We start from the raw sequence: 15,405 nt of genomic DNA, 5'->3' as shown, positions 1-15,405 counted from the left end.
AGAGTTCTCGCTCCAGTTTCCCATGGCTCCTCAGGGAAAAACTGTTTTCATTCACAATTTACTTTGTGTTTTAAGATGTTTTCCCTTTCAAAGGGGGGGATTATTTTTCTTTTCCTTCAGGCTGTGTTCACCAAAATATTGAATAAATGCAAGAAAGGATGTTAAATTTAAGCTTAAGAAAAGGAATTTATAGACAAATGTGAAACAAGCATGAATGTATCTGGGTGAAGATCTGAGTTCTTCCTAAATCAGTTAAAATCTTGTCTTATTAAACATTAAATATATATGCAAAATAATATTTTAAAACATATGCATAAGATATAAGAAACAACATGAAAGCAAACGTATATTTCCTATCACTAGATTAAGTAATAGAAAATTTCACTTTCAGGACTTTTTTAACCCCTCAGTGATCCTTCCTTAACCCTATTGTGGTTGTTGCCCTCCCTACATAGCCGCTATCCTGAATTTTGTGGTTTTTATTCCCATGTTTTATCATATACCTCTAAATTCCTAAATAATGCATTGCTTAGTTTTGCATGGCTTTGCACTTTGCATAAATGGAATCACATATGGTATATTTTTCCAACTTGCTTTTTTCACTCAACATGAAGCATGAGTTCACTGTTAATGCTGCATCATGTTGTTTGAATATACCATTATTATTTATCCATTCTTGTGCCCATGGACTTTTGGGTTGTGGCCAGTTCTTTACTATTTCACACACTTTCTCCTGGTATCTAAGCCAGTTGTTAAACAAACCAATCTACTTTAAATAGTGTGCGGCTATTTTTTTTTAAAGATTTGTTTTGCTAACACGGTACGTCACAAAATATTTTAGGTATTATAGATTATAAAATGACTTTGTTACACACTTCAAAGAAAGTTCCATATTTACACAATAGTGTAAAGGAACAGGAGCTTTGTTTGTCTGCTCTTAATAGCGGTCTAGATAAGTCATTGCTTCTGCAAAATGCATTTCATTAATATTTGTTAAAACTACAGCTTGAAGAGTCAAATGGAATTTTAAGATCAGAAAGATAAACAGAAGGAAAAGAAAACCTCCAAGAAGTGCCTACTTCATTTCCATATGCTGCATTCACCTCTCCTTCTTGGGTTCACAGAGCGTTTATTGTTTGCACTCGCCCCTCAGATGGCTCTAGGCTTCTCTGGTTACTTCTCTCCAGTAGCATTCACCAAAGGCCTTTGATGACATCTCTTTGACTTCATTTAATGTTGAGAACACACTAAGTTCTCAATAAATATGTACCATTTTTCAAGTATGACTTCTGAGACAGGCTTTGTTGAACAAGTAGAATGCTACATCTCTACTTCTGCAGCCCATCTCCTTGCTGCCAGCAGGCCTTTGTGTGGCCAGCTGTCTCATGTCTTTTAGCTCTTGGCAGAGATACTACCTCCCAGAAAGGCATTTCTTGACTCCCTTTTCCAAAATAGTCTCTCTCCTATTACTTCCTAAACCTTTGCCTTATTTTCATCAAGAATTTAGTACTTAAAATTATAGCTGCTTGCTTGGTTATTATCTCTCTTGCCCCATGTGGGCATGGAGTCTGTCTTGTCCGCTACTGTATTCCAAGCACCTAGAAGTGCCTAACGCCGTGAGGGGGCAGAGCATAAAAATGGATGGAGAAAGTGAATTTCCCTTAAATAACAGATAGATTAAGGGTATTTCTAAAAAAATGATGGCCGTAGTCTCATGGAATGAATCCTGACAGGGACAAGAGTCATTTAAACAAGTCATTAAACTCTTTAGGCCTTATTTTTCTGTCTATAAAATGGGATTAAGGATTTAGTAAACATAAAATATTAACGGATACAATATTGCTATAAAAAATGGAAACATTATTATGAGAATGTGTTACAGATACCTAAACTGCCACTGGCCATACTAGCCTAAATGTTTGTGAAGGGAATGTGGATTGAAAGTGTTTTTTGTAAATTTTCCTGCAGGAAGAAAGCAGTCTTCAAATAGAAAAGGATCAGTTAGGTTGGAAGGCTCCAGAAGACTTTATATTTCAAATCCATGATCTCCAAGTCAGCTTGAGTAATTTTTGTCAAGAATTTGCACACGTTTGAATGATTTGTCACTTAGCTAACATGTACTGGAAACTTACTAATAACATTTTTAGTTTTCTTCTTAGCACTTAGGTGTTCAGCCTTCTGTAAATTTCACCCTTGCTGATACTCTTTAATATCCTCTTGTTTTTTCATCAGGGTGTATTTTTATCTGACTAGCTGAGTTGCAGTCTCCTTCAAAGGAGAGACTGTTTTGTTTTTAATTTATTTGTTTTTAATTAGTTGTTGTATTTGGCAAACATAGTCATGTGCTTTGCAGAGAAAGCGTGTTTGGATAAAAGCTTATTAAGTTGTTTAAATACTTTTGATTAACCTTAGAATCGATTAGGCCCATTCTTCTCAATCTAGACTGCATATTAAAGTCATTTTAGGGCTGGGTGTGGCGGCTCACCCCTGTAATCCTAGCATTTGGGGAGGTGAGGCAGAAGATCACTTAAGTCCAGGAGTTCAAGACCAACCTTGTCAACAAAGTAAGATCCTATCTCTACAATAATAGAATAAAAAAATTAGCCAGGTGTGGTGGTGCATATATGTAGTCCAAGCTACTCAGGAGGCTGAGGTAGGAGGATTGCTTGAGCCTAGGAGTTTGAGGCTGCCGTGAGCTATGATTATACCATTGCACTCCACACTGGGTGATAGAGGGAGACTCTGTCTCAAAGCAAAACAAACACACAAAATCATTTTAGGAACTTAGAAAAAAAATGCATTGGCTCAGCCCTAATGGTCAAATATTCTGAATTAATTGATTTAATATGCAGTCTATGCATTTTTTTAATGAGTTAGTTTGTAACTTCCTACAAGTTATTCTGATGAGCAGTGAGAACTGAGAACCACTAAACTAGGCTGGAACATTAGTTCACCAATGTGGCTGCCCACTGGAATCACCTAGGCAAGTTAAAACCTACTGATATTTGGGCCCCATTTCCACAGAATTTGATTTAAATGGGTATGAGCATCAAAGCTTAAAAGACCACCCAGTTGATTCCAATGTGCAGCGGTTTTTGAACCACTGCACTCAATTATGGGCTCTTTGAACATAGTACCAGACACAGATAGGTTAGCCCTTGTCTGACTTTACCTGATGATTCAATTTACCTATAATGTGTAGTGCTTGCTAAAATGCAGATTCCTGGATACCACACCAGAATCTACAGGAGAATGTTTAGAGGAATGCCAAGCTCCACGATGATTTTTATGATAATGCAAGTTTGGGGAACATGGCCCAGTAAATATTCCACTTCTAGAATTATTATCTTTATGAGTGAATTTTCTCATAATTTACCTGGTTTGCCTCTGAGCAGAGAAACTTGCTTTGCAAGTACATACTATCTTTTGAATAATTAAAAAAAAATTTCATATTTAGTGAAAACGTATATAAGCAGCAAAAGGCATCAAATTATGCCATGTGAGGAAACAATTATAATTGCTTTCTTTCTGTAGTTAAATGATCATAAACTACATGCTGTATATATCCTTGAAATAAACAGCCGATTTAGAGATAAGCATTTGATAATAGGAATATGCATCAAAACTGATGAGAAGTCTTATTATACCTGAGGTTTCCTCTCCCCTACTCCATTTTCTATTTAGGCTTTTTTGAATTTTGAGCTGTTGTCTGGTTTGTGTTTAACTCTATTTTGTTTTCATGATTTTTGTTTTAAGGACATACTCAGATATAGTATTATATTAAAAAAGAGAAATGAACAACAAAAAAAAAGATGAAAAGCTGAGCTCATTCAATAGAATCTATCGAATTCTATTATGTGCCTAGCATTGTGTAAGAATGTTTATACATTTTTTTTACTAGGAAATAAATTAAAAGTTTAAGACCATCTCTTGTGGTTGGAGGATAAATATAAATGTTTTACAGTGTCCAAAAAATGTACAAACTGCTTAATCCACCAACTAGTTAACCAATTGCATAATAATTAAGAGTGGGAGAGATATCTACGTATCTGTATTTCTATCTATAACCATCATATTGTCTGGTGTTTCTAATCATTTGTAAGAGATTTCCAATCTCTTGTAGGAGAAAGTTCTCCTGGTGTGAGTTAAGTACACTGAGTTTAATAATAACAAGCATTTGCAGCTTTGTGCTGAATCCATTTGAAAGGATGCACAAACTATGCTCATACTGATGGTGGGGATGCGGGGTGGGTATTGGGACCTGATAGTTAAGTTAGGCCCCCTCATTGGCTATTGGAGGCTCCAGAAATGTATTAATTGCATGTACCCAGTCTTTCGGGTTATGTTTTTTCTGCAGTTTGAGAATAGCCAGTCCACTGCAGTTACCCTTTTTTCCTGTTTCTTTGAGAGTCACCTTAACTTAGTAGGAACTTACTGTTGTCACCTCATACTCACTACAAGCCTATGATAAATGACTTGGGCTCATACTTTTTTCCGATGAAATAATTTTTAGGAGACATAGTTGTTTTCTCTGGACTTCCTCTGAACAAGGTTAAGATCTGAGAGTTTTGCCTTTTAGCATTTGAGAAGGTAACATCAAAAGGCTGTTCCTTCAAAGAATGTCATGTTGCTATTTAATTGGTAATCACTTTTCCCCTGGTTTAGCTCTGGGCTTGGTAAATTTAATAGGCTCAGTATTTTTATTTTATTGGTACTATGAGATGAGTGTCTGAATCAAAACACTAAATTCTGATTAGGAAGACAGTTGAACAACTATACTGAAGATCTGTTCCAGTGTTACTTGAGAAACATCTTAAACTATGTTACAGTGAAAATAAGTGAAGGTCCTTTTGCTTTTTGTAATTATTCATTTTGCATGCATTTTTCATTTAGTATCAGGAGACAGTTTTCCTGTTTCCCAGTCAACTTAGCCTTACTGAGGTAATTGAGGGCATAGTTAGATTAGTTTATTAGTTCTTTAGAGATTCATTATTTCCATGGAGGAAGAGCATAGGCCAGTGGTTTTCAACTCTGGTTAAACATAAGAATTCCTTTTTTTTAATAAGTGGCCTTTGGGATCCAGATCAACCAAATCACAATATTTAGGAGTCAGCCATGCTGTGGTTATTTAAAAACAAAATGAAACAAAACCTCCCTTATAATTAATGAGCACTAGGATTGGAAATCACTGACACAGACAAACCAGTTCTGTATTATATTTGGCTGAGAGAGAGTTAAATCAAGTTTATTTAACTAGGTGCCTATTAATATTTTATGTTGTATTACTCGGTAGAATTCTTAGGGAAAGAATGACTTTTTAAAAATGTTTTTCCTGGATACTTTCTTAATTCATTATTTGATTCTTTTTTTCTCTGTAGAATTGGGCTTCTCTGAGGCCTGTTACCTTTTCTGTGTACTTGATGATAAAGAAGCCCAAGGGGGCTGGACACAATGGCTCATGCCTGTAATCCCAGCAGTTTGGGAAGCTGACGCAGGTGGATCACATGAGCCCAGGAGTTCGATACCAGCCTGGGCAACATAGGGAGACCCCCATCTCTACAAAAAATTTAAAAAATTAGCCAGGTGTGGTGGCTCATGCCTGTAGTCCCAGGTACTCGGGAGGCTGAGCTAGAAGGATGGCTTGAGCCCAGGAGGTTGAGGCTGCAGTGAGTTGTGATGTCATCCTGCCACTGCACTCTGGGGTGAGACCCTGTCTCAAAAAAAAAAAAAAAAAAAGAGAAGCCCCAGGACAGTATGATGTGCCTGTTTCTTAGCCCCAAAGATGAGCCTAGTTTCTTTCTCCATATAAAATATTTTTGTTTAAGGGAAAAGAGACAAATTTGACTCTTGAGGTATTGTGTGGGTAGACACATTTAGAAGAGAAGGTTGAGAAATTAAATCTGGTGTTCTCACCATGTGCTGTAGTAGTTATTAGAAACTTAATGTGGAATGGGATTTGTTTTTGTGGTTTCAAATGACCTTTCGGATATGGTGAGTTATTTAAAACCCCAGGTGGCAAGGTGAGTCTTGGCACATTACTGATCTAGGAATTGGGCAGGAGATACACAGGCAGAAAAAGACCTTTCTGGGCTTCTCTTTATATTGTGTGTCTCTATTTCTGACTATTTAGTTAGAGCTTCCTTTGAATATTTTATTATCTACTTAGTTTATAATCAGGACCACCCACCTGATTTTAGCCTGCTGACTCTTTTCTGCCTTTTTATTCCCTCAAGCCCACAGTGCATGTGTATTCATGTTTTTGCTTTCCATTCACGGAGATCTCCAGCTGGGAAAATATAGTGTGTACAATACTCTCTGCCTTCAGCTGACATTGCTCATAAATTGCAACAGAAACACTGCTATCAGCAGCTTAATAGCAGGTAGAATACAGCTCTACATATCAAGTCTCAGCAGGATACAGAAACTATGGTTACCAAATTTCCAAAGGAGAAGGGGAGGGGGTAGAAAGTTTTCTATCTAAGAATAACTGAAACAACATTGAAAATTGATTCACTGAAAGCAGCTTTTTGAAAACGACTTATAAGGGCTGACCCAGTGGTTGCTCTGCTGTCACTTTTTGCTGAATTGTTATTTCTGAAGACCTCACAAGAAGGGTTTTGTGTGATGGAACGGTATAGAAAAGGCAAGCTTGTTTGCTTCTCTTCCTTCCTTTCTCTGTCTCTGTCTCTTATAGTTTTAAAAGAAAAGAAAGGGCCTTTGATAAACTTAATGAAAAGTGTACTGGTTAACTGATTCTAAAGTAGGGTGATTAGGTGGAGTTAGGAGTTACCCTCAGGCACACTCACCGTCATACATAGGCATCCCTGGCAGAGGATCCACGCCTATGACAAGGAAGAAGCGAGCCTTGCTATTAGTTTTTTCTCTTAGCTACAATTTATTTTATCTTGCGTGGTGACTCGTCCAGTTATTTGACTTCTGGTAAAATAGCACACATTTACATAGCATATCAAGACGTTCATATTTTAGGCTATGATGTGAAAATGGGCAGTCTTATAGAGCCTTTCCATTAAAAAAAAAAAGAAAGAAAGAAAAAGGATAGCTGCACTTGTGAAAATTTCCAGTGCTTTATTTAGCACATCATTTTATCTTAATAAGTGAGATTATATTAATATTTTGAAAAGTCCCAAATTCCCCTCTATCTCTGTGAAGAAAGGATTGCTGGGCTCCGTCATCTTTTGTGAGTAGCCACAGCAGAATTCTGCCTCTTGCCAGAAGAGATTAGTGTGGGTGGTAAAATAATTCTTTCTTTAAACCAAGTAAAGCTGTTGTATTAATACTCCTGTCATAGGACTCAGGCAGATAAAAAGCTCTCAGCCTTGTTCCAGGCTCCTTAGTGACTTCTAAAGGAATAGTCAAATATATCCTACTCCCACCTGCAACCCAGTCCCCAAAATACTGGAAAGTAATTAATCAAAATTATCATTCCCCATTTCTTTCCTGGGAAAACTCAACACAGTTTATGTATATCTTAGTTTGTATAATGTACATTTTTCTTTAAAGTCTGTTAGCCTAGTGGCTCTGATAAGAATCACCTTGGATCCTTAGGGGAGAGCTAGGGATTAGTATCTGTAATAAGGACTCAGGTGTATTTTTATCATCTGGCGAGTTTTGGGAAAACACAGGAGTCTGATAAGCCTAGGTATGAAACCCATCTATACCATCCTCCAGGAGTGTGTGTGTGTGTGTGTGTGTGTGTGTTTGTGTGTGTTTGGGAGAAGGGATTCATGGATTTTTTGAACCAGGGACCCAGGTTCTGAAACCTACGCTATAGTTCCTCCAAAAATGGAAGCTGATTCTTAACATTTGGAATAAGCTAGTGCCTTGCAGCCTATAGCGTTCACTTGGCAGGGACAGCCCATTTGTTTTGAGTATTGTATTGTATGCTGTCCACTGTTCCCGTCAGGTCCCTGGGTGCTGAACCATCTCCATGAGAGCAGGCCGTGTGGTGGCTGATGCCATGCTGAGAACACCTCTTCTTCCATTGTGGAAAGCACAGACAGTGTGCATCTGAGGATGCAGCCCCCCACCTTTCAGCCAGAGTGGCTATGTAAGCCTTGTGATAAAATGAAGCAAGTAGAGCAAGAGGCTTGCAATGCAAGTTTAGATAAACTCTATTTTGTAATGTGATTTCGGTGGGGGATGCTGAGTCAGTAGGTTCATTCTTGTCTGCCACGTGTCCCTGTCTTATGAAGGTGCTATCCCAGGAAGTCTATGGTCATATTTACCAGAGGCAGTAAAGTCACTACTGCTCCATCCGATTTTTTTTTTCTTCTCAGTGCACTAAATATGGTGCTAAATGGGTTATATTTTAGCAGTATGCCCTTTGCAATAGGTAGTCTTCTGGTTCCTTCTCTTCAATTACTTTATGTGCCATAAATCTGAGACATTTGGGTTTGGCTGTCTTGCTAATGAGGAAGTTTAGGATTAAATGAATTGGTTGAATGATTGATTAAATGAATTGCTTCCTGTGTCACCAACTGAAGGACTTTGGTTATTGCCTAGTGTATTGGCCCCTTCTTTACCCAGACCTCAAGGAAGTCTTGTCTTAAACCCCCTATTCTCCAAAGCAATTTCTAATCACTTAGCTTTGTGTTAGTCTTACTGGGGCAAAATTCCCGAAAGGCTCCTGGGCGTGGGTCAGGCCTCCCAGCTGTGTGATGGGCGTTAAAGGAACATTATGCTCACTGGAGAAGTGCTGAGAGCCAGGCAACTGGTGTCCTGATGGCCACCTACCCCAGAGGCTGCTGTGTGGGGGCAAAGGATCACTGGAAGAGAAGAAAGTTAGAGATCCAAGTGTGGTTTGGGCTCTGTTTTTGGCTCTGTTCCAATTAGTTTTAGGGCCCAGGACTAGCCATTTAACCTCTCTGGGCCCTAGTTTCCTTCTTGATAAGGAGGACAAATATGGAATAAGTGATCTCCAAGATTCTTTTGTGCTTGAAAATTACGTGATTTTTTTTTTTCTGTGTGGTGTTTTGTTTTGTTTTGAGACAGGGTCTCATTATCATACCTCACTGCAACCTCAGTCACCTCAAGGCTCAAATGATCCTCTGGTCTCAGCCTTGTAAGTAGCTGGAACTATAGGTGCAAGCCACTACATCCTGCGGTATATATAGATATATATAAAATATATATATATATAATATATATATATATATATATATTTTTAAGCATAGAGAAGGTCTCCATATGTTGCTCAGGCTGGTCTCAAACCCCTGAGCTCAAGTGAATCCTCCTGCCTCGGCCTCCCAAAGTTCTGGTATTACAGGCATGAGCCACCATGCCTGGCCTTTGTTGCTTGTTTGTTGGTGTTTATTTTATATGAGTTCTAGATGTGATATGGTGAAGCTTATTGTGTGATTCACGTACCTTGTCATGTATATTTAGCACGTGACCAACTAGAGCAAGGGGCAAAGCCCTTGAGTTGAGGGCCAGGAGTCTTCTGTTCACTCTCTTTGCACCGGTGTCTTCTACATGGGAATACTGGGTAATTGTCACAAACTGGGTTCCATTTCCTAGTTCCACAGATTACTGCCTATGTGATGTTGGGCAGTTACTTATTGCCTTCCTTGTACCTCGGTTGTACGATAGAGATACCATAATATAGTACCTCTTGTTTGGGTGGTTAGGAGGATTAAAAGAGTTAATATTTGGAAGACATTTTGAATAGTGCCTAACATAGTCAGCATGATATGCACTTGTTAAATTAAACAAACAAAAGGGCAATTCCCAGTGTTATAATATTTGTTCTAGGCAGAGACAGGGGTGTCTGTCATTAGCATGCCAGCATGCTGTCTATAATTTGGAATTTCAACATCGAAGACCCTGCTACTTGTAGATCTTCTTACAGTTATCAACAATGGTGTTGATGTTGCCACTTGTTTTCTTCCAGCCACGGTGGGGGTGGGAGGAAGCTGTGTTCAGGGGATGAATGCAGTGCAGGACTTGCACAGAATGAACACTCTGTCCCCAGGAGCCCAGTTTCACTGATTATCAGAAGCAGCTTTCCTCTGGGGTCAGGTGGAATTAAACTATAGGAACACATGTAGTTGGGATCAGTGCTTTATGTATAAATGCTTTGTAAAAGATATTTCTTGCCCCCCACCATTCCTCCTGCCATCCTAACTTCCAAACCCATACCAATAACTTTATTTCTTTAATGTAATGACTGGGGTTGTGAATACGGTCTAAGTAGATGTTATCTTGAAGAGTTGATCTTAAATACTTCATGCACTCAGGGATCAGGCAGTTCATTTTTACTTTGAATTGAATTGCTAATTTATATTAAGTAGATGAAAATTTATGTCTCTGTAATCTGCTGCTCCAGAGGATACCTTCTGCATCTGTACTGGCCATATTTACTCATATATTGATTCCACGCACCTACATTGTTGGTTACTGTGACCATGTGTTTTTGGAATGACAATTTTTATTAAATTTTTTCATTATTTTGTGTTCTATTTTATAGAATATATGCTTGCATACTGGGATTTCTACATATTTGCCAAGTTTCTATTTTGAAATATGTCTTTACATAAAATTAGGCTAATTTAATTAACTAGGGTTAAGCATTAAAGGCCATAAATTGTTAAACAGATGAAACACACACACACACACACACACACACACACACACACACACACACACACAGAGCAAACCCAGTTTGTATTTTGATATTTGAGTTGTGATAAAAGTAGTCACATTGAGTTACTAATCTTCCAGGGCTGGGGGAGCGGAATGTGCCTTTGCTATATTATGAAGGCAAGAAAATTGAAGTTTTTTTCTTTCCATTTCTTTCCCTTGTATTAGGAGCCAGGTACATGATTGCTAGTAGCCTAAAGACCTGACATTTTAAAAGAAACTACTCTATTTGTATTATTTGGAGAGCATGAGGTACCCAAAAGCACACTGGGAAAGAAAATTATCTTTTAGTATTTCAGCTAGTACAAGGGAAGTGCCTATTAGAAGCAATGGGCCGCTTGAGGACATGGATTGCATCCAGTAGTGGCGCATTCACCAAAAGGCAGATGAAAATAATCTGTACCAACAAGGATCACAACAGGAAACATCATCTGAATTTTCCACTATTGACAATCTTGACTATCTAGCCTGGGATTTGCATTGCCAAGCAACACGTTAAATAATTTTGTATCTCTTTGAAATCAATTTCTGGTGATCACACATGCAGATTGAAAACTATGGCTTTAAGATTTACGTTCAGTGAATAAAATTTACGTTCCCTGAAAGGCAAAGAAGGCTGTCATTTCATGCCTCCTAACCTTCATTGTCTATTTCCCTTTGGTACACACAAGCAACCTAGTACGCACAAACGTACATGCCCATTATGGAGAGATAGCTTTCTGCTCTGTCAACTTTGTTTTATAAAAGCTCTGTTTTCTTTATTGCCTTTATCTATTACATCTGTAAAATTTATTTTAAGCAATGACAAATCCCTCTTTGGGGCCCAGAGTCTGGGAGAATAACCACTGGCAGGCTATTGGGAGGAGATTTGTTGGATATGACTGTTCATTAAACTGCAAGGAGTAGTGGGAGAGGCCAACAGTCTGGATCTGCCATGGCTGGGCATGTTATGGGCTGTGTTTAGAGCTTCTACATCAGGTGAGAGACAAATGTACCTCATCAATTGCTTTTGTAATAGTCCAGTAAAACTGGATGGCTACTGAAATCTCAGGAAGATTCCTGATTTCTTTGACTTGTGAGATTACTTATTCCACAAAAGTTTCTAATAAAAAAATAGAAATACATAAAACCAAATTGTTTACAGCTATATCGTCAGATTATTTTAAAAAAGGAAAGAACCAACTGAGACAGGCTCCTTCACTTACAAGATATCAGAAGCAGCTGATGAACAATTTTCACCTTTCCAGTTTTTACTTTTATATTTGACTGGGGAACATAATTATAATGCAGGAGCTCTTTTGGCTCTGTTGTACTTTATTTTAATATTTCATGTGATTGAAGCATGGCAGTTCAGCAAATTAAATTTATAACCATTGGTGTGCCAGTAAGTATTTAACACCTGGCTCTGTGGTGGGAGTTGCAGGGAGAGAGCCCTGATTTGTAACATTTGCTGTTTTCTTTGGTGATTATATCACCACCGTGGTCAGTTTCAAGTTTCCAGTGTGATGTCACTGAACATGGTATTTTTTTTTTTTTTTGGGGGGAGGTGGAGTCTCCCTCTGTTGCCCAGGCTGGAGTGCAATGGCACAATCTCATCTCACTGCAACCTCCGCCTCCTGGGTTTAAGCCATTCTCCCTACCTCAGCCTCCTGAGTAGCTGGGATTACAGGCACCCACCACCAAGCCCAGCTAACTTTTTGTATTTTTAGTAGAGACGGGGTTTCACTATGTTGACCAGGCTGGTCTCAAACTCCTGACCTCGTGATCCATCCACCTCAGCCTCCCAAAGTGCTGGGATTACAGGTGTGAGCCACTGCGCCCAGCCTTGAACATGGTATTGAGAAGAGATGCTTGCCACCTGCAGCACATGCCTCCAACATACCACTATCATCATCAAGATGACCTTAGCCTTGTGGGTCCCCATCCATACATGCACCATTCCTTCATGACACTGTGTTATTTATAAATAAGTTTATGTAAACTTATAAAGTGCATTTAGAAGTATGGTATCAGAAGTCAGACTGCCTGTGCTCCAAATCTCTGACTTTCTGACCTGGGGCAAGTCAGCCAGTTAAGCTTTCCAAGAGTTACTTTGCTCATCAGTAAAATAGCAATAATAAAAGGACCTGACACACAGGCTCTGAGGAATGAATGAGATAAGCTGTATAAAAAACACTTATTCTTGCGACCTACACATAGCATAGCAAAGCACTCAATCAATGTTCCTAATATTTATTTTCTGTCTTTATCCCCTGGGGACAATAACAAAAATGTTAACTGCCTAGTGTGTAAAATAATGCTTATTTTATTAGTTTTGAATTGCCTTCTTTTAAGCTTCAGAGGAAGCCCCAACTTCAACTTCACCAAGATTCAGTGAGCAAATCCTGAGTTCAGTTTGTCCATAGGCTTACATTTTTAGTGATTTCAATTTTGACCTCCTGCAGTTTCCATCTTTATTAACTCAAGACTTAAAATTTGTAGTGTGTCTTTTTTCAGCAGCTATTTGTATATTTTGTTTTTTTTCCTCTGAATTGTTTCCTAACTTATTTCTAGGCTATAAGAAATAGGACGACTCAAGAAAGTTCATTATATAAGAACAGGCTATTATTTTGTTTTGAATGCTTTACAAAATATGTTTTGGTCCTGTTAGCCCATCGTAGTTATGAGCTTAATGTGCTATGATGTTGCATTCTTGTTTGTTAAAAATTAAGGATTTGTTAAAAATTTAAGCTACAGATACAGGACTACAATTTAAAGGGAAAAGGTTAATTGCAAATTTTAGGTTTCCTTGATCTAATTCTCTCTAATATTAAAATTAAGTAGAACTGAATGGCACCAGAAAATGTAATCGGCCGCACCAGGAGACTTTATCAAGACAGAAAGCATTGTTCTCCTAACCAGTACCTTTTTGGAAAGCTTATCAAATTTAGTATTACTTTCACATATCTTGGAGTCAATCCATTATCTAGCACACAAATGGAACAGAATTTAAAATGGCTTTCTGCTCACCGGTTTGGGAAAGTGTGCACTAATTCATATATACTAATTCATATGCTGAGATGTACTAAATAAAGTATTAATAGCATAATACTTTGGCTAAATGTCAAAGTCTTTTGTGGCTGAAAATTTCTCAATCAAAAGCTGTGTATAAAACCAAACCATTTGGTTTTTGTGCTTTTTCCCTGAACCCAAGAAATTTGATTTCCGAAATGTCAACATGTGCTTTCTCACTTGAAGCATTCACATTGTAGCCTGTCGTTTACCACTTTGAACAGCAAGGTTTTGTGGGGTGGGGCAGGTTTTGTGCATGCTGTGTGGTAGGCCAGGTCTGGGTCCCCACTGCAGTGAGCAACAGACCTGGACGCTCTGGTGTGTACCTTCTACGGCCACACCACTCGCCTTTCCCTCCTGTCTCCCCTGAGAGGCCTGTTTGGGTAAGAAGAGATAATGGGCTGCCTGTTTTCTCTTTCAAAGAAAACCGGAAAGCCTTTGGACCAATAATTCTGCCACCCCTTTAGAGTGCTGAATTTCTTCAAAGGAAGCCTGAATGGAATGCTGTACTCTTCACCCTGAGGCTATCCAGTCTGTTGCTGGCTGCTCACAAATAGAGCTACTAGTTTCCACTGAAAAAGATCTTTAGTTATTTTAAGCAAAGGACATCAGAAGGAAATAATAGGTTTCTACCTCATTCTTCCATCAGGCATTTTCCTGCCCTATATACTAATCCCCACAGATATTTGCCATGAAAAAATTTATTTATTGTTCCAGGTGGCAACCCCCAAGTGTTAGCATTGTCCAGCCAAACATTCTGTTTGCATTGGTATTAGATTTACTGGTTCAGGGACTGTGGCGAGTACAAATCAGATTTTTGTCCAGAAGTGTGTGTGTCTGTGTGTGTGTGTGTGTCTGTGTGTCTGTAACTCTTGAGAGAATTACAAGGCAACCTGGGAGGATGCTGAAATATTTGGTCAGGTTTTCTTTCAGTGAAGAGAGGTGTATAAAACACACGCTGATGATGAGCAGCAATTAACAGTGCATTACTTTCTGGAAAAGGCTTGAAGTCGGCTGCCCTGCAGGTCAGAGTCAATAAAGACTGAGTTACTAACAATAGCCTTTCTCTTGCTAAAGCCTTGGACTTAACCCTAACTTCATGAGACCAGAGAATAAGAGAATAATGCGAACAATAGGAGTCTTGGAGGTTGACTTGGGCCTAATGCACAGAGGCAGTAAAAGCTGTCAGAGAGTGTGATTGATTGGCTCACACGCCTTAGTCCCCAGTGCGAAGCACTAATGTTCCTGCCTCTTCTGAGAGGGCTGATGTGCCACCTGGGGTCAGAACTTATCAGCCTGTGGGGCTAATGTTTCAGATGAGGCCAAAGTGCAGTCAATAATTTATACGGAAATTTGTGCTCAGATTCGCAAGGAAAGCAGGTTTTGACTTGAATTCCTCAGTCATCCAAGAAAGAAGTCAGAGCCAACTTCAGATCTTCCTGCTAACATCGCTGCTGTGTATATTAATACTTAAGACAAACGTCAATTGAAGAAGACAATTTAAGTCATCATGAAGTATTTATTTAGCAGTTAACATTTGGAGCCAAATTTCAGGAGTTTCAGAATTGATCAGTGAAATGGGGAAAGGAAACAGCAGCAATTTTGAATTCATGAAAAAACAAAATCACCTCTAGAATGTAATAACCAGGTCAGGTTAAATCAGAGTGACTTCGGAAACTATTAAGTGTCCATGGG

General features: G+C 38.7%; 1 protein-coding gene across 9 annotated transcripts in view, besides 1 other annotated feature; it reads left to right on the top strand.

Annotated features, from left to right (window-relative positions):
* The window catches only part of ZNF608 (zinc finger protein 608), a 111,910-nt gene that overhangs the window by 71,447 nt on the left and 25,058 nt on the right, over positions 1–15,405 (top strand). The gene's annotated exons all lie outside the window — the stretch shown is intronic.
* Positions 14,425–14,942: an enhancer, noted in NCBI's record as "NANOG-H3K27ac hESC enhancer chr5:123998129-123998646 (GRCh37/hg19 assembly coordinates)". NCBI's record gives its function as "activates a minimal SCP1, AML or CMV promoter by ChIP-STARR-seq in naive H9 embryonic stem cells {active_cell/tissue: H9 hESC(naive)}" and the evidence as "EXISTENCE:reporter gene assay evidence [ECO:0000049][PMID:30033119]".

Source organism: Homo sapiens, chromosome 5, assembly GCF_000001405.40.
Source record: "Homo sapiens chromosome 5, GRCh38.p14 Primary Assembly".
Lineage (NCBI taxonomy): Eukaryota > Metazoa > Chordata > Mammalia > Primates > Hominidae > Homo > Homo sapiens.
Note: the sequence above shows the minus strand (reverse complement) of the source record. Positions and strands in the feature narration are given on the sequence as shown.